Consider the following 23,010-nt stretch of genomic DNA (forward strand, 5'->3'; position numbering starts at 1 on the left):
AAAAGCTAAGTGGGCCAGGGACGCCCTATTCCCCTCCCCGCGGCTGCCTGTCAGAGCGCTTCTGGAGATATTACAGGGGACCCAGCCCGCAGCGACAGGCACAAAGTCACGGGGTAATGAACTTCGGGGACCCTTCGCCGCTGCGTGCGCGGCTCTCCCCGGAAACCCGGACCTGGCCGCCTCTTCCCTCGGAAGATTTCCCAGCAATCTAGTTTTCCCACTCTGCGCTTGGGTTCCGGCAGCGCGGAGCCCGTCTGCCTCTGAGACTGCGGTAGTGTTTTCCTTCTTTCCTTGGGAGACCAGCGGTCGGCAGAGATTGCCCACACTCTGCATGCCTATGTAGAGGGAGAGATCGAAGACTGAGTGACAGGAATGGGGAAAAAGAGGGATTTCGCTCCGTAGGAAGGCCATTTTCGTGTCTCCATCTCTGTCTTTCAACATCCCTCTCTTGCTGTTCTTCCTTCTTCCTCAGTCTTCCTGTCCATCTCTCCATCTGTCTGTCCATGTGTGTGTCCATATCAAGCAGCATTCCCAGCAGCTGCGGTTTTGCAAGAGCCGGGAAGAAACTTAAGGATGCTTAAATTTCCACTGTTGGACGAATTCTGAGCGCCCAGGGAGCAGCGCAGCGCGCGACTGACACCCACCTGTCCCGCCCAGGAGCCTTGCAGGCTGGAGGGCAGCTGGAGAGCGGCGGCGCCCGGCGGCGAGGCGGGCGCTGCCGGCCGGGACTCGGGCAGCGCCCACCAACCGCTCCGCCCCGGGACAGCCAGCATGAGCAAGCCAGCCGGATCAACAAGTGGGTACCTCTCGGGCCGCCGTGGGGCCTAGGCGCGCAGCCTGGGGCGAGCGAGCGGGGAGGCTGGGGGAGGTCCTGCCTGGAGCGCTGCGAATCTGAGCCCCTGAGAGGGATTCCAGCGGGCGTGTGCGTTCGGCCCAGACCTGTAGACCGTGAGTTGGAGCATTTCGTGGAGAGGGGAGAGCCGTTTCGTTGCCTCTGGATTGCTTGATCCCCCCTGTCTGGTGCGGTGAGAAGGTTACGACCCGCGCAGCCCACCAGTCGGATGAGTTGTCTCCATTTAGCCGCCAGGTGCTGGATGGGGGGGCCATGGGGGCGGGAACTGGGCCGCAGCTCCAGGCGGTAGCACAATAACACACTCGCTCAAAACTCCGAGCTCCAGCGCGCAAAAGCAACTCTGTGCAAAGCGGATTTTGAATGGAATGCTTTGCACCCCGTTTCTAGCTATTTCAAATAATCCTGCAAACTGGGAAGCAGAAACAATTTAAAAGTCACATTTTCCTTAATCCTAAATCCGCGTAGGTCATAACTGGGGAATTTAAAGTATGGCGAACCACTCTAGCAAAGAGAGGACCAAATCCCTAATCCCAAGGACTTTTCGAGCCGGAGCCCAGCAGAGGCAGGAGTGCGCGGCCTGCTCCCTCCGTGCGCTTCTCTCCTTCCTCGAACTTCCTTAGCTGCCGGCTCTCCGAACGCCAGGCCGCAGCTGACCTCTCACCACCCCGAGACTCACGAGCGCAGGGCTAAGTGTGTGTGCGAGGGCATTTGCTTGCACCCTGCCTGCGGAACCCAAGAATGTGCAGGCCCGAGCCAGCGTTGAGCAGGCGCGGTCACGGTGCTCAGATCTCCCGGGGGCATTTCAGTTCCCGCCATCCAGTGGCCCACGGCTGCGGGCTCCAGGGTCTGAGGCTGGGGACTACCGTTGCCGCCGCAGTCCCCATATCCCGAAGTTGCCTTGCTGCTTGTGTTGTTTTCGCAGATAGCATTTTTGGCGCTCTGTGCGTTCCTTCCCTCCCCCTCCCCCTTTCACTCGCCCTCATTGTCCTGAGTCTTTGAAAGTTGGGAGAATCGGAGATACTTCTGAGGACTGGTAATGAAGTCTCACTTAAGTGGGATGCAATTCCCGCCCTCCTACCCCCCTCCAAGAAGGAGGTTGTGTTTTCATTTTGTTTTGCTTTGGGTGCTGACCTTTAAAAAATTAGAGCAAAATGAACGTGAACAAAAAGAAAAGGAGAAATGTTTCGAGCTGGGGCAGAGGGAGCAGAGAAGGAGCCCTCACCGCGGCCGGAATGCAGAGCGGACCCTGGCCCAGGACTGGGTTTCCCTTTAGGCTCGGGCCTACCCTGGCCCTCGCTGTTGGAATCTCCAGGAGGTAAAGCGACCTCGATTTTTGTTGCCCGCATTCCCGGGCGTGAGTGTCCTTCCCAGGAGGCTCAGGAGGCCGTTTCTGTTGCATTCTGAGCCTCCGTTGCAAAAACTGAAGCCCGTGGGTCTCGGCAGGCCTCCTAGCTCGCTCGCCCCGGGACAGGCCCTCGCCTACACCCCTGGAAGTAAGGAGCCCCGGGCTCTTTCGTCCTTTTCGGGGTGTGGAGCCCCTGGGGCCCTTGAAAGGTGAGGCCTCAGAGGCGAGGGAGGGGTGAGCGGGGAGCTCTGCCCGCCTGCGGCTGCGCCCCCGCTGTGGACTAGGAGGCAGGCCAACCCTCCGGACTTTGGGGGAAAAACCACAGCGGGCTCCTTGCGGAAACTTTGGCCGTTCTAACTTGCCAAGAGCCTGAGTGAGGCCTTGGAAGCCTCCAGCCCCGGCTCAGGTCGGGACGCGGCTGCTGAGCTTTCTCAGGCCCGCAGGACAGCGGCCCCCGCCGGTGGCGCCGCTGCATTTAGGCCCTTTCCAGACCGGTGGCGGCAGCCAACCCGAGACTTGCGTCCCTCGGGCCCGGGGCAGCTAGGAGGTCGGCGCGCAGCGGGCCGGGTCAGGACTGGGTCGAGCAGACAGAGCTGCAGCCCCCGCCTTGCCCGGCTTCTCGCGGCTGGAGAGCAGAGCGATGTCACCCGGAGCCCCGCCTGGGTGGTAACGAGACCCTGGCCAGTCACCCCTGCAGCCCAGACTAACTTCTTTCAACAGCCTCTGATGGTAATTACAGTAATCGAAGCTGCCATATATCTTTAGGCAATTATGACACACAAAAAGCCCCGAGGGGACCCCCTGGCGAGGGAAGTTAAGAACGGTTTTCCAGCTTCAGGAAACTCCGGCTCGCCTCACGTCGGAGCTCGCTCGGCTTGCTAAATGAGAGGAGCTTTGCAACGGGGTCAACCAGCTTGTCTCGTGACCCCAAGTCACCTTAACGTGGCTGGGTGGCGGAGTCTGAGGCACAGGCCCGCTATGCCCCGGAATTTTCGCGTCCCTCCCTCCTGGGCCCCGCCCCAGCCCGGTTGCCTGTTTCTAATCTGCCCCGGGAGCCGCGGCTCAGAGGTCTGCTCAGAGGCAGGACTCGCACTGGTGGTGGCCTAGAGGGCAACAGTCCGGAAGCTCGGGCGGGGGAATCCGAGGAGGGGCCCCCACCCTGCACTGGTCTTCCCTCCACCCTCATCGGGTTCTCCAGAGATGTTGTCATGGGCCTCCTGTCCGGATGGGAAGTGGGGAAAAAGAGACCCCACCACTGCTCCTCCCACTCACTCATCTTGGCATCTTCAACAGTGCCACAGGGAAGAGGACAGCTGGGGTGACAGTACTGCTGGGCCCCAAACGTGGACCCTGGAGCGGTCAGAGGGCGCGTGTTAAGCAGAGGATGGTTGTAAGATATGGAAACCAAGTTTACCGCTTCCAGAGTGAGTGCAGTGCAGCGGAGCTCCAGACCCGGTTCCTGAGCGACCAGGAACTCCCTTGGGCGCAGTGACAGGCCCGAAGGAGTGGAGGACAAGACCCGCTGTGCCCTTGCCTGGCCCTCTCCAGCCCCTCCCTCCCACAGCACAATCTCCCCTCCCGCCCTGTGGGAGGGGGGCGCCGAGCCGGTGGCCGCCGCGCCGCGCGCCTCCCCTGCCCGCCTTTGTCGCCGTCCGAATTCCCATGCTACTCTTTTTGACGGGTCACTGGTGGCTCTATAGGCAGGTGCTGCCGCGGGGTTGTAATTACCCGGCCGAGCCTGGTCGTTACCGAACACCCCCTCACCCCCAAGCACGGTCCCCCGCGCTCTCCTTCCCCCACCCCCTCCACCTGAGACGAGTCTGGGACCCACGGTGCAAGCTCGCCCGGACGCCTCGGGTTCCAGGAGCAAGTTTACACCTGCGGTGCCTCGAGGCCCTCCCCGCGCCACGCCCTCACCTCCCCTACTCCCCTCGCCCAGACGTTCCACTGCCGCCCCTTCCCACCTCAATCCCATCGTAGTCCCCAACCCAAGCGCTTTCGGCAGCAGCTGTCGAATTTCAGGGAGGCCTGAGGCCGCTGGGGCCCAAACTGGAGGCCTTCGGATAGGTAGAAGAAGAGAAAAGCAAGTGTTAATAAGTCAATTGTTATCAACTATTGTTATTTTTAAAATTAAAGTGTTAATTAAGTTAACAGTTTAATACTCCCTTTGTTTTGCGGGAGGAAGCATTTCTAAGTCCCTATAAACCGCTTCAGGCACTTGTTGGACTCTTGAACCTTAGAGGAAAAGAATCCCTCCCTTTCTAAACGGCCAAATATTACCCTCTCCCTGACACTCCTCCAGGGTCGGTGGCCACCCCAGGCTTGAGGGGATTCCAGGGAAAGTTCTCTTGAGGTGGGGTCCATGGGGGGTGGGGGGATACAGCCTAGAGAAATCAGTCAGATTCTTAATTTAAAAAAAAATCAGGCTCAAAGAGCACTGGAAAAAACCGGGAGGAAGAGATCCACACAGGACCAAGTGTGTGGAGGCCAGTCTTCTAGGGAGAAAGGGCTTAGGAAATGGAGGGAGCCTGTCCCAAGCTAACCCGACAGGGAACCGACAACTTGCGTCGCTCCCCTCTCCCTTGCCTAGTCCCGAACCACTTTGCGGAGAAAATAATTTTTTCCTAAAAGAAATAATTTCTCTAAAGCGACTCACCAAGCATTTTTTAAATAGGTAAAGCGAAAGTTGGCCAATTACCACTACCCTTATTATCATTAATAATCCAAGTATTAGCATTACAATAATAATCCTAATAATAACACCGCCCGGCGGAGCTCAGAGAAAACTCGATTGCCTTCCAGCTGCCATCCCTGGTTCCAGCCGTGTTTGTTTTTCTTCTTTTCCCTTTTACATTTCAAGTTTGTCTCCTCGCGCGCTCACTAACAACTTTCTCTGTTAAATGCAAAAGCGAAGGAGGGAGGCGGCCAAACTTTCCGCGGAGCAGAAAGGCAGTGGAGGGCCGCACTGCCGCCCGGGCCTGCTGTCATCTTTTATTCCAAAATGGGTCTCGGCGATTAGAAGAGAACCAAATACATGTAGCGGTGCATGAATAATGCTCATTGTAGGAAACTGACACTTGCTCAAGGAAAAAAAGTTTGGGTATAAAATCACTTCATTATTTGCTTTTACCGCAGCTTCGGTGCTAATCCCTTCAGAGGTCAGATTGCTTAGCATCTCTCTCTCCCTCTCCCCTTTTCTCCCTCTTCTCCGCCCTCCTTTCCCTCTCGCCCCTTCCCCCCTTCCCCGTCTTTCCTGCGATTTCAGGCCGCATTTTAGATATCCCCTGCAAAGTGTGTGGCGACCGCAGCTCGGGGAAGCACTACGGGGTCTACGCCTGCGACGGCTGCTCAGGTTTTTTCAAACGGAGCATCCGAAGGAATAGGACCTATGTCTGCAAATCTGGAAACCAGGTACCTTAGCCAGGGCTGCACTGCTGGGCTCCGCTCTGCTGCCTCCTCACTCTTTTGTTTGTGCCAAGGCCTCCTCTGAGTTTCCACGCAGTTGAGGAGAGACCCGGCCCTGACCTCTCCCTTCCTCTCCCCTCCTTCTTGCCTCAACTCTTGGAGGCCCTTTGGCTGGGGAAAGGCGGGAAGAGGTAAGGGAAGATATGAGTTTACAGGAGGGAGTCTGAAGTCCTAGAGCCTCCCTACACTTTTTTAAATTATTATTATTCTGAAAGATTTTGACACTGGGTAAGGCCCACACCCTGTGGCTCTAAAGCCGGCCCAAGGGACCTAAAGAATTTAGCATCTAAACCACAAGTAGCAAGCAGGAGAAAGAGCTTTGTTATTGTGCCTGCCCACCCCACACTCACTCCTAGCAGCATCAAGCTCAGTCCCCTGATCACTTGCCTGGGATGCAGAAGTAAGCGGCACACAGACATCTGAGTCAAGGTCACCACCACCTTTAGCTGAGACCACCAAGTGAGTGCTAGCCACTTGGAAGAGAGGCCGTGCTTTCTGAAGGGTTGTGCATTTTCAACTCTGGAGAAGCAGGGCTGCTCTGGAAGTGGGCAGTGGGAATCCAGCACCCATGTGACCTTAGCTATGCCTTGTCAGAAAAGGGCAGGGTGAGGAAGAAGAGAAGATTCAAAAGGAAGGTGCAACTGGGACCCTCCTCAAGCTTCCATATCCCTGTCCTCCTTCTCTGCTTAGAATTTGGGCCCAGTCGGTTGTTTTGGTCTTGAGTAGGCAGAACTGTCTCAAAGAGACAGAGGAATCTGGCATGGGCTGAATATGAGCCAAAGCTTCTAGAAAGAGTGAGCAGAACCTCTTGACTCAGTTTCCAGCTCAATAATAGGCTGATTTTAACTAAGGAGATCAACCTTCTGGTCCTACACTTTGCCCTCTCCTTATCAGCGACTCAGACCCTCAGTACAGAGTCCTCCATTTCACTTGTGGAAAGATCCCTGAGGGTGCATTAGTCAGCAGTCATCCTTTGGTAACAAAATAGTAAAACACTTTTCACTAATTGATATATATAGGGTACATGTATACACATGCATATATTGTCTGCTGCTAGTGAATTGTTCTGACATCTTTTTCTGAAGTCATGTCTGCTCATATTGTTTTCTAATAGTTTTGGATTAACCACAAAAACAGAAGATATTTGCATTGAGATAAATTTTGAGCTCTCTAGCCCTGTTACCTGTTTAATTGGCTACTGTATCAGTTTCTAGCTTCACCATATGGACACATCACATTTTACACGCATAGGACTGTATCCCAATAACTCCACAGGATTGTGCGATTACTGCGGGTTGTCAGATTTGAACCAACTTCTACTTAGATTGTCTTTTGCTTTTATGCAGTGAACAGAATTGGAAAATCAAGATCTCTGATGTTGTGCTTGATCTTTTAGAAGGGGATGGCTATCAATTCAAGCATATTGATATCAGTCCAAGTGCTTGTAAAGGACTGATAATAGACTCATCAGGCCTGGTGTTCTTCTTGCAAGGAGAGTAAATGATCAGAGCTGAGGCGTTTATCCTTCTCTCTGGCGCTAGATATTTATATACATTTGATCTGATTTGAAGACACACTTAAGAACTTATGAAGGTTTCCATTTTGCATTTGCATACTTATAAGAATACTGGAAAGATACCATCTGAGGATAGATATATAATTACATTTAATAACAAGTTTTAAAAAACCTGTTTACAATGAACTATTACATTGGCCAGCAAAGATGCCCTAAATAATTCACTTTGGACCCAAAAATTATCTCCTTTCTCTCTTATTCTAGGATTAAATTATATTCCAATTTATTATTAACAGTAATGAGGACATTTAGAAATGGATATGAACATCTGTCCCACCTTTATTTTAAATAAATCATCATAATTTAAATTGGAGAAGTGTGAACTCATAAAACTGCATTCGAATGTGTAATTTTCCCCTAAAGGGCTTCAGGGGGAAGAAAAACATACTTACTCCAACTCCAGAGTATATGAATTTTTGAGATTATGAAGCAAAATAAAAATACATTTATTATCTTTCTTCTCACTACAAATCTAACAGTAGCAACTTCTATAAATATAGGAGAGCACACAATGTCTTAAATATTTTCTGTGTATAAAACTCATGCACATGACTCTTTATGTATCTATGCATATGTCCCCTCGGTAATGACATCTAACACTGAATAAATTCCAAAGGAAACTTTATCTGTAGATTTCCTCTTTCAATGGCTAATGTTTTTACAGAAAATTGCATTAGGTAAACATCTAATTTCTCATGCATCTCAGATAAATATTTCTAAAGAAGTGACTACCTTTATTTTTTCAGTTACTATGCTAACAGTCTGAGCCCATATTATCATTTAGTCTGACAGTCCATCACATTACCTTCCTGGTCCTGTTTACATGGTGAGCATTTCTATATTTTGCTCAAGACTTGAGCTCTTCCTTTTTCACCCTCATCTTCTCTAGGCCTTGCCCTCCTAAACTCTCACCTTCCAGGAAGGGCTGTGTTTCTATGCACCTGGGCCGAGGCTAGTCTTTAAGGCAACTCTCAACTTGCTGATAATAAGGTTGGCTTCATACAAAAGCAAAAGTGAGGTAATAGGAGAGTGAAGAATAAATGGGAGAGATTTATCTGATAGATAAACGGGCTCTCCCAGAAAGTGGCAGAAAGAGGTAGACTCAAGTACTGAAAGCAGAAAGAATCGTTGGTGGGAGGGCGGTATGGTGTGAATCCTGACCCAAAAGCCAGCTCTTAACGGAAGGAACTTAGTGGCCTCTTTCTCTGGGGCCAAGTCGCTGTCTTCGGTCCTGAAGTCTCGTCCCTGTTCCACCACTCCGCGACTGGCGGAAGTTCCCCTAGCGAGAGCCCCGCAGGCCTGCGGGGTCTGCCAAACCCGGCTCTCTAAGCTTCACCTGCTTGGAGAAGGACGTTTCCCCCTTGTCCGCTTTCTTGGGGTCCGGGACTGGCCCTCTTGAAGTAGCCTGGGACGTCCCAGCCCCTTCTCGATCTGGCCCTGCTCATGCCCAAGGCCCTCGCGTTTTGCAGGCCCAGGCTCGGGGCTCCAGGGCCTGCGGCCGGGCAAGGTCGCGCCTCCACACCGTTTCCCCGCCCGGGTGCCGGCTCCGGGTCTCCAGCCTAAAGGCCCTGGGGACCGCTGACCTCCTGCTCTCTGTTCCAGGGAGGCTGTCCGGTGGACAAGACGCACAGAAACCAGTGCAGGGCGTGTCGGCTGAAGAAGTGTTTGGAAGTCAACATGAACAAAGACGGTAATCAGTGCATCCCTTTATTCCAATGTTGATTGAGTAGTAAGTAAATTATATGTACAGAAAATACATGGCACTCCTATGCATGTAAATCAACCCCGGAGCGCTTCTTTCCAGATGCTGGGAATTGGCCTCGGGCTTTCAGTCGTATCCTTCCCGTCTTTCAGCAGGAGCCGCTGGCGACCCCTAGAATTCCCCAGGGCAAGACCCATGCCCACATCAGGAACTTGCGCCCCACAGTCATCTCCACACAGGCAGCGCTTGGGGGGACCCCACTCTCCAGGGGACCGGCGCGCATTTTCTGCCTCCGGTCCTAATCCCTCTTTGCAGCCCTTCGTGGCCACCCTTAAGCCTGCTAGCCTGCCCCAGGATCTTAAAATCTGGATAGTCTCACGGGGAGGAGATCATACAGGCTGGAAGTTCGCGGTGTGTTGAAAAAGGGAGGGCAGAGACGCGAAAACGCGGAATTTCCAGCCCGTGTGCAAATTCTCCAAGATGCCAAAATCAGTACGGCCATTGGGCCGATGTGAGTCCAGGGCCTTCTCTCTGTTCTACAGAAAAGAGGGAAAGGGGGCTGGAGAGGCAGGGTAACGCCCGTGGGTGCCTCGGACACCCAGCTCTCCCAAGGCTCTTAAGCGCGCAACAGCAAGAACCAGGACGTCAGAGTGCTTCCTGGGCCTGGAGCACGGTCCGAGCTGCGTCCCCCGCTGCAGCCTGTCGAGGGCGCCCCAGGCCCAGGCAGGGGGCGAGGGTAATGGGCTGGAGGACACCGTGGGGCCTGGGAACAGGGTGCGAGTGGGTTTTGCTGTGAGGCGGCCCGGGCCGGGTGGCAGCTCCAGGAGGAGAGAGAGCCCCTTCCTCTGCGGCGCAGGAAGCCGGAGGGAGCGTCCAACCTGTTGAACTTGTGTATTGACAAGTTGTCAAGCTCGGCAGGCCGAAGATTGCCCTGAATTAATTTGTTTGTTTAAACTGTTGGTGGTAATTGTCACATCTCCCCTGCCTTTCTCCAGCATACTCGGAGACGGGTTCTCCCTCGTTCCATTCCCTAGCAATCCCGGGGCTCGGGTCCTTTCCTCCTGCGGCCCTCGGAGGCCAAAAGCTATTTCTGTGGGGGCGGGGCCTGCGGGTAGGGAGGCTTGTTCTTGGACGGAGCTGGAAAAGTCTGCGCAGAAACGAGGTGTCTGGCGTGCGCGACGCTCCCTCTCTTTTGGATGGGGGCGAGGATACCTGGCTACTCCAGCCCAGAGGGTCTCTGGTTTCCCTGCGAACCCCCTTCCCTGGTGGGGAGGAGCCCTGGACCGAAGGAGAACACACCTGGTCTTACTTGAGGCTCTGCCATTATCGTGGCACTTTGAGCACGGGCCCCTCTTCTAAGCCTCAGCTTCCGAATCTATTCAGTGTAGTGGTTAGACGATCTCAGAATCCCTTCCTCCCTCAGATTCCCTCTCCCTTCTTCTTTTCACCTCTTGGGCGATTTTGCCCGCCCAGACTTGACATTGGGGCGGGGCTGGGGGGAGAGCCGCAGCGGCTGTGTCTCGACGTCTCTAATCGCCGGCATGCGTTTCTCTGTTTGCCTCTGCAGCCGTGCAGCACGAGCGGGGGCCTCGGACGTCCACCATCCGCAAGCAAGTGGCCCTCTACTTCCGTGGACACAAGGAGGAGAACGGGGCCGCCGCGCACTTTCCCTCGGCGGCGCTCCCTGCGCCGGCCTTCTTCACCGCGGTCACGCAGCTGGAGCCGCACGGCCTGGAGCTGGCCGCGGTGTCCACCACTCCAGAGCGGCAGACCCTCGTGAGCCTGGCTCAGCCCACGCCCAAGGTCAGCGGCCTTGCTGGGCCCAAAGAGACTCGTGCCAGCGAATGGAGAGGGACGCACCCAGTTCTTCTGAGCTGTGTGATTGGGGTCAGGCAAACTGGGGAGAGAACTCCAGGGTGCTTGGCGGGTCTCTGCATGGAGCTCCAGCCCTTCTGCTCTCCCTTGTTCAGCCAGGGGTGCTCAAACTTGAGTGTACAGTAGAGTCAACCTCCGAGTGGCTACAAGTGTGCACTCCGGATCTTATCCCCCCAGAAATTTCATTTCAGCAAGTTTGGGGTGGAGGCCAGGAACCTGCACCTTTAGGAAACACCCACTGGTAATGGGTGGTGGGTGGAGACCTCGTCTAAACCCAGAGGGCAGCCTCAGGTGTTCCTAAAGACCAGAAGAACCAACGTTCATTTTTAGAGGAGAGGAATTGGCTACAGCTGGAGGAAGGGCTCCAGAATTCCAAATCTTGGCATGTATGATCTTGGGCAAAGCCATGAGTTTCTAACGCAAGTGCGAAATGTGGAGATCACACTGTTAGAACAGTTTGAGGAATCTGAGTTCATTTCCCATGCTCCCCTCACCTACTTCTGAGGCAGGTGGATTTACAGCAGGGTTGATTCCATAGGAGCAGGGCCACAGCCTGAACCACCTGGAAAGGCTGCCACCTAAGGCCTACCCTCCAGGCCTACAGCTGATACCTACTAACACCCCCACTCCAGGCTGATGAGGGCCTAGGATCTCCCTCAGAGGAGGGCCAGCTGCAGCCCCACACTGCAGGGAAGCCAGACACCTGGGCACATGCACACGCACAATATTTAATATGGCTTTCTTACCCTTGATGTGTATAATAAGCTCTGGAAAGTAGTGTTATGAATATGTTGTCAGTTATGAATGGGAATGCTCTGTGAATGATTAAGATGTCTAATTGAAATATTTCCATAATATACTAATCCTTTCTAAAAATACTCATATGCATATTTGTGTTTGGGATGCCTATTAATTTATACTTTTTCACATCTATTTTTATTTACACAAATGCAAGCAGCTCTTGTCTAAATTGGGAGCCAGGCTTGGCACTTGGCTCAGCCCAAGGAAAATTTGCTGCAGGGGATAGAAAAGCCAGAGGGCCTTCTGGAAGGGAGAGGCTCCCAAAGAGTGGAAATGGACCTCCCCCAACCAGTATTACTTTTCAAACTCTATAGACAGCGATGTTTGATTTTTTTACCCACCAATGTCAACTGCATGTTTAAACAAAACATCCAAATTCTTTTTTATCCCCTTCCTTGCTTTAATTAGAAATTAAAAGTTTGGTTCTTCTTGCAAAGCTGTGGTTTCCTCACTTCCAGGTGTCTTTCTTTCTTCCCTACCCAGTACCCCCATGAAGTGAATGGGACCCCAATGTATCTCTATGAAGTGGCCACGGAGTCGGTGTGTGAATCAGCTGCCAGACTTCTCTTCATGAGCATCAAGTGGGCTAAGAGTGTGCCAGCCTTCTCCACGCTGTCTTTGCAAGACCAGGTATGACCACACTGAGGCCTTGGGAGAAAGAGAGCTGGGAAAGAAGCAGTAGCACTCAGCCTTATAAAACTTCCTCTATCCCTGGGTAAACCACCCAAGGCAGGCATCCATTCTTAATAGCAGTGAGGAAACTACTTGTTTTTACTTGCTTCTTCCTGTGGGTTCAAAATATCTACCTATATGATCCTTAGTAAGAAACGTAATTACATTATTTCAGAAAGGATGGGTCCAGTCTGTGAAAACACACATACAAGAACATTACCTCTTTTTGTTTGATTGGAACAGCAAATATAATCTCAAATTTTAAAATTGTAATGATTTTCTAAAACTGTTGATGAAACAATGTTTTACTAAGAACATTGGAACTGAGAGAAGTAGAAGGTGGTAAGAGTATGCCCTCATGAGATTTTTCAGAACTGATGTTATTATTTTATATTCCCAGCTTTATATTCTCCATTGCGATGCTCCCAGTTTTGGTCATTAATTGATAAGCATGTAAAACCAAAGGGCACAGTGCACACCTCCTGTAGGCTAGGTTCTTCCTTGATTCTTCATGTACTTTTAGACATTTTGTAAACAAATAGGCATTTTGCTTAATTCCGTGGTTGTAAATGACATTCAGGGGAAGAAAAAGTGTGTGCAGTGAAACATTGTATTGTACTGAGACCCAGAAATTTTGTTGATAGGAATATTAGAAATGCTAACATTTTTCTAACCTTAAAGGAAAGAAAGAAAATAAAGTGTTCCCAACCATTGGCTGTTACCAGTGCATTCACAGGAATTAATGACAAATTTTCCAAAGGCTAATAAGTAGTTCTAAAAGCAAAGGATTTATTTCTTCAATTCATTTCATACCTAATTAAAGCATAATAGTGCCCCTTTATATGAAGTATGTTTCCTACGGAAAGATCGGGCAATGTGCTAAAAGCATTTCATTTTCTAGCATGAGATGTTCTTGTTTTCATGGCCTGCCCTTTCAAATATGGCCAGAATTAAATATTGTTTACCTTGCATTTTATAATTATTTCCTGTACTTGATGGAATAAAACTAAAAATAAAACATTAAAAAAATTAAACCCTTTGGTCTAATTGTGATTTTGGTTACAAGCCTTCATGATTCAGCTCTTAGCTCCCAAAAGAAATCCTTTTACATAAATCATTTAGAGTTGACTGGCTTTTGAGTTTTGAGATTTTTAAAGGTAGTTAGGTCCTATCTTTGACCAGGTTTACTGGTTAGCTCTAACCACTTCCTGTGTGTGTGTGTGTGTGTGTGTGTGTGTGTGTGTGTGTGTAGACTGGCTATTTTTTTTCAAAATAAGTATTTGTATACTCTCACCCAAACAAAATTTACTTACTGTCTGCCACTTAGCCCTTTGGTAGAAATCCTTCGACAACAAGCAACCTGCAGTGAAGTGGAATCTGGTATATTAATTTGGAAAAAGAGACAGATTTTCATTTTAAATATTCAGTAGCACATTTTATTAGAATAAAAATGACAAGCACCTTGATGCTGTCCATTTATGGGTCTCAGAAAAATCAAGCAGTGAGACGAGGAAAACTCAGCAAAACCCGATTAACATAATTACACCCTGATTTCCCCCAGTGCCTCTTGGGAATTAGTGATCTCTGTCTCTCTCCCAGCCCAGCCCCCTCAACCCTCCAGGAAGATGGGGACCCAGCTCTGCAAGCGTCTGAGGAATCCTCAACCCTGCTAATAGCAGCATTCTCTGTGAGGGGAATCCACCTGCTGAGCTGCTGGCATTTCATAAAGCCTCGCTCTCTAGAGGAGCTTCTAGGTGGTCAGGAATGGGTGGATACAAGGACAAGAGGGGCAAATCCTTTTCTGAGAGAAGGAAACTTTGGAGAATTGGAATGGCTGACTCTCAAATCCATATGCATATCTATAGGCACCTTTTCAAAAGGAAAATATGGGAAAATAAGGGAAAGCTAGAATATTCAGAAAAAATTACCAAGACAGGCATTTAAAACACTTTTTAAAATAATGGAAATTTACATAGTGAAATTGTTTATAAATTTATAAATTACACACTATATTATATTATACATCTATTGTATGACAGCTGATGCTTTTGGAAGATGCTTGGAGAGAACTGTTTGTTCTAGGAATAGCACAATGGGCCATTCCGGTTGATGCTAACACTCTACTGGCTGTATCTGGTAAGAATTGCACAATTTAATGACTTTGTTGTAGAAATTACCATAAAAATACATTACTGAAAAAAGAACAACATGTAAAGAATAACAAATTCCTGCTGAACAATAGAGTATACCTGTCATTTATAAATCTATATTTAAATGCAAATAATGTTGTTTTGTTGTATTCATGACTGCTTGCATTGTTATTTAAATGCAAATTACTGTGTTTGTTATCATCCAAGAGAAGATTTTATATTAACTTTCATACAATATAGCCGGTTTACATGGAATCAGATATCTTAGAGTGACAATTGAATAGATATTGATATGCAGGATTTTGTCAAAAATCAATATTAAATCATGAAAATGCCTTCATATTAGAGTATTTATCCCATATTTTTATTCTAGGCATGAACGGTGACAACACAGATTCCCAGAAGCTGAACAAGATCATATCTGAAATACAGGCTTTACAAGAGGTGGTGGCTCGATTTAGACAACTCCGGTTAGATGCTACTGAATTTGCCTGTCTAAAATGCATCGTCACTTTCAAAGCCGGTAAGCAGACACAGACCCCTGTTTCTTCTCCTTCCCCAGTTTTGCCACCTCACTAATTCAGCCACCTCGAAGTCTGAACTGACCTTTGCAAAAAGAGGTGATGGTTTTCAAGGGAGCTGATACTCTTAATCTGGCCCCATTTTTTATTGCTATGGGAACCTGCATGTTCTGCTGGGCATCAACTTCCAGAGAGGTGCATTCCCAGACCCAATTTCTTTTTTTCTTTCTTTTTTTTTATTTTTTAAATTTTTGTGGAGATGGTGTCTTGCTCTTGTCACCCAGGCTGGAGTCCAATGGCACCATCTCAGCTCACTGCAACCTCTGCCTCCTGGGTTTAAGCAATTCTCCTGCCTCAGCCTCCCAAGTAGCTGGGATTACAGACACATGCCACCATGCCTGGCTAATTTTTGTATTTTTAGTAGAAACAGGGTTTCACCATGTTGGCCAGGTTGGTCTCGAACTGCTGACCTCAAGTGATCCGCCTGCCTCGGCCTCCCAAAGTGCTGGGATTACAGGCGTGAGCACTGCGCTCGGCTCCCAGATGCAATTTCTATGCTGTCTATCACAGTTTCCTGGTCTTCATTTCTAGTTCCTACACATAGTGGTTCTGAACTGAGAAGTTTCCGGAATGCTGCCGCCATTGCAGCCCTTCAAGATGAGGCTCAGCTAACGCTCAACAGCTACATCCATACCAGGTGACCCTTGTTTGCCTTGAACATGTACTTAAGAAAATTGCCTCCATTGTGAATGCCTGAGCAGGCGGTAATAAGCCAGTTCAAACATTGTGACTAATTATCTTGTTGCCAGCCAGTTAATTTAGGGAGAATCCATGTCCTTACCTATCTCTCAGGGTGGGTGAGAGGAGCAAATCTAATTAGATGATCAAAGTGAAAGCACTGCCAGACATATTACAGTTGTCCTGGCGGAACAAATTGATCCATCAAAATAATGGAACAACATTTGTGTGAATGGGTATGGAGGGGTCAAAAATGAAGCCTAGGCTGGGCACAGTGGCTCACGCCTGTAATCCCAGCACTTTGGGAGGCCGAGGTGGGTGGATCACGAGGTCAGAAGATCGAGACCATCCTGGCTAACACAGTGAAACCCCGTCTCTACTAAATAATACAAAAAAATTAGCTGGGTGTGGTGGTGGGCACCTGTAGTCCCAGCAGCTACTCGGAAGGCTGAGGCAGGAGAATGTCGTGAACCTGGGAGGTGGAACTTGCAGTGAGCCGATATTGTGCCACTGCACTCCAGCCTGGGCGACAGAGCGAGACTCCGTCTCAAAAAAAAAAAAAAAAAAAAAGAAGCTCAAAGTGTAATGGTTGGTATGTGAGAGAGTGGCCACATCATCCTTGAGAAAACACAGGTGACTTTCTTCAGATGCCAATCTCAAATAAAAGGATGAGAGAACTTTCCAGAGAGGCTATCTTTTTTTTTGAGACAGGGTCTTGCTCTGTTGCCCAGGCTGGAAGGCTGAAGTGCAGTGGCATGTGAGCATGGCTCACTGCAGCCTTGAACTCATGGGCTCATGTGATCCTCCCACCTCAGCCTATTGAGTAGCTGAGACTATAGGTGCATGCCACCACACCCAGCTAATTTTTTTTTTTTTTTTTTTTTGAGACAGAGTTTCACTCTTTCACCCAGGCTGGAGTGTAGCGGTGCAATCTCGGCTCACTGCAACCTTCGCCTTCCGGGTTCAAGTGATTCTCCTGCCTCAGCCTCCCAAGTAGCTGGGATTACAGGTGCCTGCCACCACGCCCAGCTAATTTTTGTATTTTCAGTAGAGACGGGGTTTCACCGTGTTGGCCAGGCAGGTCTCGAACTCCTGAACTTGTGATCTGCCTGCCTTGACCTCCCAAAGTGCTGGGATTACAGGTGTGAGCCACCATGCCCGGCACACCCAGCTAATTTTTAAACTTTTTATAGAGACAAGGTCTTGCTATGTTGCCCAGGCTGGTCTCGAACTCCTGGCCTCAAGTGATCCTCCCACCTAAGTCTCCCAAAGTGCTGGGATTACAGGCCTGGGCCACTGTGCCCAGCCTAAAGAAGCCATCTTTTCACCTATCATAACTGTTGTTTGGCCTTGGTGACTGGTATCTGTTATTTTGTGTCATAACATCTACCAGGTTACTTCTGGCCATGCAGGGCCCACAGGCAGAGGCTGTTTTTGGCTGTTTGTAGGAACTCTCAGAGACTGGGGCTCCAACAAAGCTCCTCCTGGCCCAGCACTGGGCAAGCCCATTAAGAAGTATAGACTGGGGGCTGAGGTGGCTCCACACCTGTAATCCCAGCATTTTGGGAGGCCAAGGCAGGCAGTTCACTTGAGCTCAAGAGTTCGAGACCAGCCTGGGCACAACATGGCAAGACCCCATCTCCACCAAAAATTTAAAAAAAAAAAAAAGAAGAAGTGTAAATTTTATTATGCCATTTAAAAAAAAAGCCAGGCTTTTAAAGAGAAATGGAAACTTTCTAGTTTCCTGAGTTAGGACTGGTAGATTTGAAGTTAGAATAGAGTTACTCTTCTCTAGGCTGATTTGAAAGGAATCTGTGAAAGCTCAGCTCCATAATCTCAACATCAGCTATAGACACTGTGGGGGGAATAAATACATCAAATGGGTAGAGGCTGTTAATGCCTCCCTCAACTAATGGGTCAGAGAAATCCCAAGTCAACTCTGTCCATTTGGGGTGATACCACTTCTGCTAGAGTCTCTCTATTTCTATCGTAAACCTCTTTTGAATACTAAATGAATAAAACTGTTCCCTGTCTATGGAATATCACTGAAACTATGTTGACAGATAGTGCACCTGTATATGTTTTTTCAAATTAAAATGCCAGGATTTGAATTTTAAATGCATATTGAATTACAGAATATATATAGTAGGCAGTTAATATTTGTTCAAATTTATTAAATGGAGCAGTACATAATCTGGGTACTTCTACTGACTTGTAGGCCGGGCACAGTGGCTCACACCTGTAATCCCAAGCACTTTGGGAGTTCAAGGAGGGCGGATTACCTGAGGTCAGGAGTTCAACACCAGCCTGGCCAACATGGTGAAACCCGTCTCTACCAAAAATAGAAAAGTTAGCTGGGCGTCATGACGTGCACCTGTAGTCCCAGCTACTCAGGAGGCTGAGGCAGGAGAACTGCTTGAAGCTGGGAAGTGGAGGTTGCAGTGAGCCGAGATTGTGCCACTGCACTCCAGCCCCAGGTAACAGAGTGAGTGAGACTCCGTCTAAAAAACAAACAAAAAAATTAAAAAGACAAAAAAACAAAAACAAACTAACTTGTATGTCCTAACTGACCTTTGACATTTAGAGCCATTATGGTATTAAGAACTTAAAAATGAGAAGGACGTGGTATCCAGTTATTGATCCAGTCAAGCCTTTGCCGAGTACTGGCCACATGCAGGGCTGCAGGTGGGCGATATGGGATACCAGAAGGAGCAAGACACTGCCCCTTATCATTGCAAGAAGTGGGCAGCAGTGTCACTCCAATCCAAACTAGAGAAGAGAGGAAAGCAATGTGGGGAGTGTGACAGATGAATCCTAGTCAGAGGGAGTGAGGGACAATCAGAAAAGCTCAAAGTCTGATGGGTGGAGGAAAGAACATGTGAATTGGTCCTTCAATGGGAGGAGGATTTCAGCAGGGGAGAAGATGTGTCCTGAGAGTGGTGGAGGAGCTGGTAGGGGTCCTGTGGGAAGTGCCAGAGAGGTGAGTGAGGAGGGGAGCCTGGTGTGCCAGGAGCTGCTGATAGGGTGGCCCGAGAGAATTCAACCATGGGTTAACAACAGCCTATTTTAGAGAAATGGCAAGTAAAGTACATCTCCCCAACACCGCAAAAGAAGAAAATTATGTGTGGAAAAAACACATCTGCTTTGCCATGGAATTCTTATTATTTCTATTAAATATTAGAATAGTAAATATCAAATAAGTATCTTATTTCTTATTAAATAATGGAATTATGGAATTTCTTATTTCATGGAATTCTTATTTCATTCTGATATCAGCTACAGCTGTAATTTAATATTTATATCTAGGGTCATACATGTGACAAAAATGACTATGCCTTATTTCTTAGCCCTTCAAATCAGTGAACACTTTTTCCTCCAGCACTTTCCTGTCTAGAAAAATAAAACCTGAACTTGAAATGAAAACTTAACATGCAAACTGAAACTGAGCCTAATTGTATATTACAGCTCTCTAAGCTATTTCTCTAATTATCGAGGACGTAAGGAGAAGGCTAGGAATTGACATTCCACACAAACTATATTCTATAACTGAAGATCAAATATGCAAATCTGTAATAGACCTAAAACACTTAAACCTAAAAGAAAATCCAATTATTGATGCTAATGGATGAAGACAAGGGCATAGATATTCTAAAAAATAATTTTGATTAGTCAGACCTTCTCTCTCTAACACACACACACACACACGCACACACACATACACACACACACACACACACACATTGTTTTTGTTTTGGATGCCCAGGCTGCATTGCAGTGGTGCAATCATGGCTCACTGCAACCTCTGCCTCTGAGGCTCAAGCAATTCTCCCACCTCTGCCTTCTGAGTATCTGGGACTACAGGTGCCCAGCGAATTTTTGTAGAGATGAGCCCTTGCTATGTTGCCCAGGCTCATCTTGAACTCCTGGGCTCAAGCGATGCTCTTGCCTCAGCCTCCCAAAGTGCTGGGATTACAGGTATGAGCCACCACACCTGACCTCATACATTGCTATTGTTTCTGGTAGTAGTACAGTATGCTATATGTAATAGACAATTAATTTTTGTTGACTGACTAACCAACCCTTTCCCAACTAAAGAATAAAATAAGTGGGAGAGTAGATGAGTGGGTAATCTAATCGCAGAAAATCAGGAGTTGGTTGTCTATAGATTCCCCCAAATTCATCCTTTCTGAAGGTGATTATTTCTCACAGTGGTTTCTCACCACGGGAAATGTTCAGCATGTTGGGTGGATGCTGCAGATGGCAGAGGTCGTCCAGGCAGCCACTGCCTCCGACTTGCTGAAGAATTATCTCTACTATGCCTGGTCCTGGGAAGGGAAATAGAGCTGTTGAAAAGAAGTGGCCAAGGTGAAAGGGAGACACGGATTTGGGGATTACTTTCCAAGAAACATTAGAAATACATTAAACAAGGAGAACAAGTGGTAGGATTTAAGTATTTTTTTTTAATGCAGGTAAGCTTCACCATTTCCACACCACACTACTAGATGTGGTCTGGTGGCCCCTATCTGCAGGTGGTCATGAAGCTGGGCAGTGAAAGAGCCAGCTGAGGTCCTGAGAGGCCCAGATGAACTATAAGCCTTGTATTCTGTGGAAGTGAAGGACTCTTATGTGCCCAGAGCTAAATATTTAGACAAGCATGAAAGTTGCTCCCCTGAACTTTATTTGCAGGGTGGAGTTATCAGGCAGTTAAACACAGCCACCTGACTCCTTCGAAGGAATTTTGATATCCCTTAGCTTCTAGCACCTTGTGGCCTGGGTTGAACCCAGCTTAGTCACAGATGTGTATCCCGGAAGTTCAGGTTTTAGGTGTTTCATTTCAGTGGAGGGAGCTCTCCTTATGTATATTGATATCTAATTCTAACTATTGGCTGAAGAAGTATCAGGGCTGCAGTGAGGAGGTGGCTTGCAGGCATCTAAAGGCAGCAGAAGATTGAACTTGCACATCTGAGCACAGATATATGTTGGACATCAAAAGAGGAAATTGTTAAGCAATTTCTCACATCTTTAATTACATGCCAATTTCATTGACATGAGAGTTGGGTGGCACTGCCACCCAACAGAACTTAGTCTTTAATTTGCAGTGTAATAAGGATGGAATTATTCCTGAGAGAGACTAAGTATAATGCCTGAATAATAATTTGGAGAATTGCTTAGAAAAAGAAGCCATTTTATTTGAGGGAAATAGCCTTGAGGAGTCCTTAGAATTAGAAAACATGGGTTCTGTTGCTAGCCTTATCCTCAATGCCCTGGTCGTTTTCTATAATGGAAACCTTAAATTTATTATTTGGCTTAAAATTAGTATTATGCTTCTTAAATTTCTTTTTTTTTCCCAAACAAAATGCAATCCATTTGTTAATGTAGAGAGGGTGTCCGTGTGATTTTGGCAGCATCATTTATGGTCTCCCTGCCTCAAGTAGTCTACCTGCAAAACGGGGACAACAGTGCCTGTCCAGAACTTTGCTGCAGGGATACTGTGTTATTCAAGAGACCTAGATCAGCAATGCTGGAGATGATGTGTGTTCAAGTGTAAGACGTTAGTTTCCATAAGTAATGGCCTCTGACCTTGTTTTCATGGCTTCTCACATTCCAGATATCCCACTCAACCCTGTCGCTTTGGAAAACTCCTGTTGCTTTTGCCAGCTTTACGTTCTATTAGCCCATCAACTATAGAAGAAGTGTTTTTCAAAAAAACCATCGGCAATGTGCCAATTACAAGACTGCTTTCAGATATGTACAAATCCAGTGATATCTAAGCTCACAAGATACCCACTTTTCAGGATGGGACAGTATCAGATGAACTTCAACCCATGGAGAACAAGCCTCAACTAACAAACCCTTCAGGAAGCATATACCGGGGAATGTGTAGCCTTCAGGAAAAAAATGCCAATTGACACAAAGCATTCCAGTAGCTATGACCTGCCGCCCTGACCAGGATAGGGCGGGTGGGAAGGAGAGGGGTGCAACAGGACCGCCTGCACTGAAAACTCACTGCTGCCATGCCCTGGGAGGGGGCAAACTGGGGGTTGCCACAGGCCGTGCCATTCTGCCTCTTACCTGGAAGATCAGGCTGAACGATCAAAAGCTGAAACATAAGTAGTGCTTTCTCTTCCTTTTTAGCATACAAAGTTTGGTAACCAAATATAGCTCTGTGTATAACATCGTACTGCGGCCTTCAAAACTACGTTATGTTGGAGCATTTATTTTAAAAATAATGGTAGGTTTTAAATTAAAAGTGTTATCAAAAGTTTCCCCTCTATTGTAATACATTATTAAGTGGCCTTCAGAACTGAGTTAATAAGTGAAAAGTAGCTTATGCCATGTGATTTGCTTTTTCTCTATCTTCTTTTTTCTTTTCTTTCTCTTTCTTTTGTTCTTTCTTCTTCTTTTTTAATACCATAGGCCAGGCAACCTTGTCAAAGGAATTGATGGACAAAATGAGATTCTCACCAGGACTTCAGGTTGGATAACATGTCAAAAAGAGAAGAGCTTTACTAAAAGAACATAAGTCAAGGGAGGATGAATAAAAACAGCAAAACCAAATAAAGTGGAGATGAGTGATTGAGTGAGGTAGATTGCTGTCCCGTTAACATAGTGCTGAAACCAAAGGCAGTGGGGGTCCAAACTCGTGGTGCAGCAAGTCACACCAGACAGGAAACGAATATGGACGTAATTGCAGAAGGAACTTCAAGGAGATGAATGAATGCTAAAAGGGTTCTTGACTGATCCATTGCTAACAGCCTGAGACTCTTCAATGCCTTTCCGAAAACTGGTTTCTAGTAAAGCCTTGAATGAACACACACACACACACACACACACACACACACACACACACACACACACACCGTCCTACACTTTAAGCTGCTCCTTTGGTATGACTCTATACTTATGGAAATGTAGAAACAAACATTTTTAAATAGCTGCTGTACTTTTCACATTTTGATTTATTAGGTACTAGCACTGAGGAAAAAAAATTCAGCACTTGGACTATCATAGGATGAGTAAAACTTTTCTTGTACAAAGTGAATTAACTGATTTGTGAAGTTAAAAGGTTGTACTCATTGTATTTACAAAGAATAAAAATATATTGAATTTAAATGAACTCTTTCTGATTTCTTACCCTCCCTCCCTGGCTGGTTCTCACCCACCAGAAACAAGGTAGGGGCAGCAGCTGGTGTTAAAACTGAAGCTCGGAGCACTCCAGCACAGAGCCTGCAGAACTGAACTACAAAGGCAATTTCCTTCTTACAGTGAATACCATTTGGAAAATGATGAATAAAGAAATAAAACGTAAGAT

At 47.8% G+C, this 23,010-nt stretch overlaps 1 protein-coding gene across 2 annotated transcripts, besides 4 other annotated features; it reads left to right on the forward strand.

Moving 5' to 3' along the window:
• Positions 28 to 22,815, forward strand: NR2E1 (nuclear receptor subfamily 2 group E member 1). Of its 2 annotated transcripts, none has more exons than NM_003269.5 (9): positions 28 to 796; positions 5,464 to 5,609; positions 8,842 to 8,929; positions 10,509 to 10,744; positions 12,101 to 12,247; positions 14,329 to 14,425; positions 14,813 to 14,962; positions 15,552 to 15,657; positions 21,307 to 22,811. In NM_003269.5, the coding sequence occupies exons 1-9, from the start codon at positions 772 to 774 to the stop codon at positions 21,467 to 21,469; spliced, it is 1,158 nt and encodes a 385-aa protein (NP_003260.1). In that variant the 5' UTR covers positions 28 to 771; the 3' UTR covers positions 21,470 to 22,811. The 2 variants fall into 2 exon arrangements, with proteins under 2 accessions (NP_003260.1, NP_001273031.1); NM_001286102.1 differs by lacking the exon at positions 28 to 796 and adding an exon at positions 2,029 to 2,168 and having other exon boundaries at positions 21,307 to 22,815.
• Positions 873 to 1,774: an enhancer, noted in NCBI's record as "NANOG-H3K4me1 hESC enhancer chr6:108488071-108488972 (GRCh37/hg19 assembly coordinates)". NCBI's record gives its function as "activates a minimal SCP1, AML or CMV promoter by ChIP-STARR-seq in naive H9 embryonic stem cells {active_cell/tissue: H9 hESC(naive)}" and the evidence as "EXISTENCE:reporter gene assay evidence [ECO:0000049][PMID:30033119]".
• Positions 2,675 to 3,576: an enhancer, noted in NCBI's record as "H3K27ac-H3K4me1 hESC enhancer chr6:108489873-108490774 (GRCh37/hg19 assembly coordinates)". NCBI's record gives its function as "activates a minimal SCP1, AML or CMV promoter by ChIP-STARR-seq in naive H9 embryonic stem cells {active_cell/tissue: H9 hESC(naive)}" and the evidence as "EXISTENCE:reporter gene assay evidence [ECO:0000049][PMID:30033119]".
• Positions 3,577 to 4,476: an enhancer, noted in NCBI's record as "H3K4me1 hESC enhancer chr6:108490775-108491674 (GRCh37/hg19 assembly coordinates)". NCBI's record gives its function as "activates a minimal SCP1, AML or CMV promoter by ChIP-STARR-seq in naive H9 embryonic stem cells {active_cell/tissue: H9 hESC(naive)}" and the evidence as "EXISTENCE:reporter gene assay evidence [ECO:0000049][PMID:30033119]".
• Positions 10,393 to 11,128: an enhancer, noted in NCBI's record as "H3K27ac-H3K4me1 hESC enhancer chr6:108497591-108498326 (GRCh37/hg19 assembly coordinates)". NCBI's record gives its function as "activates a minimal SCP1, AML or CMV promoter by ChIP-STARR-seq in naive H9 embryonic stem cells {active_cell/tissue: H9 hESC(naive)}" and the evidence as "EXISTENCE:reporter gene assay evidence [ECO:0000049][PMID:30033119]".

The sequence above is a fragment of the Homo sapiens genome, chromosome 6, assembly GCF_000001405.40.
Source record: "Homo sapiens chromosome 6, GRCh38.p14 Primary Assembly".
Lineage (NCBI taxonomy): Eukaryota > Metazoa > Chordata > Mammalia > Primates > Hominidae > Homo > Homo sapiens.

Bases quoted from the DNA above. Each gene is read 5' to 3' on its own strand.
- NR2E1 (NM_001286102.1), top strand. From the start codon at position 2,033: ATGTTTCGAGCTGGGGCAGAGGGAGCAGAGAAGGAGCCCTCACCGCGG. The intron at 2,169-5,463 runs GTAAAGCGACCT...CTGCGATTTCAG, and splicing joins GCTGTTGGAATCTCCAGGAG to GCCGCATTTTAGATATCCCC. The intron at 14,426-14,812 runs GTAAGAATTGCA...TTTTTATTCTAG, and splicing joins CACTCTACTGGCTGTATCTG to GCATGAACGGTGACAACACA.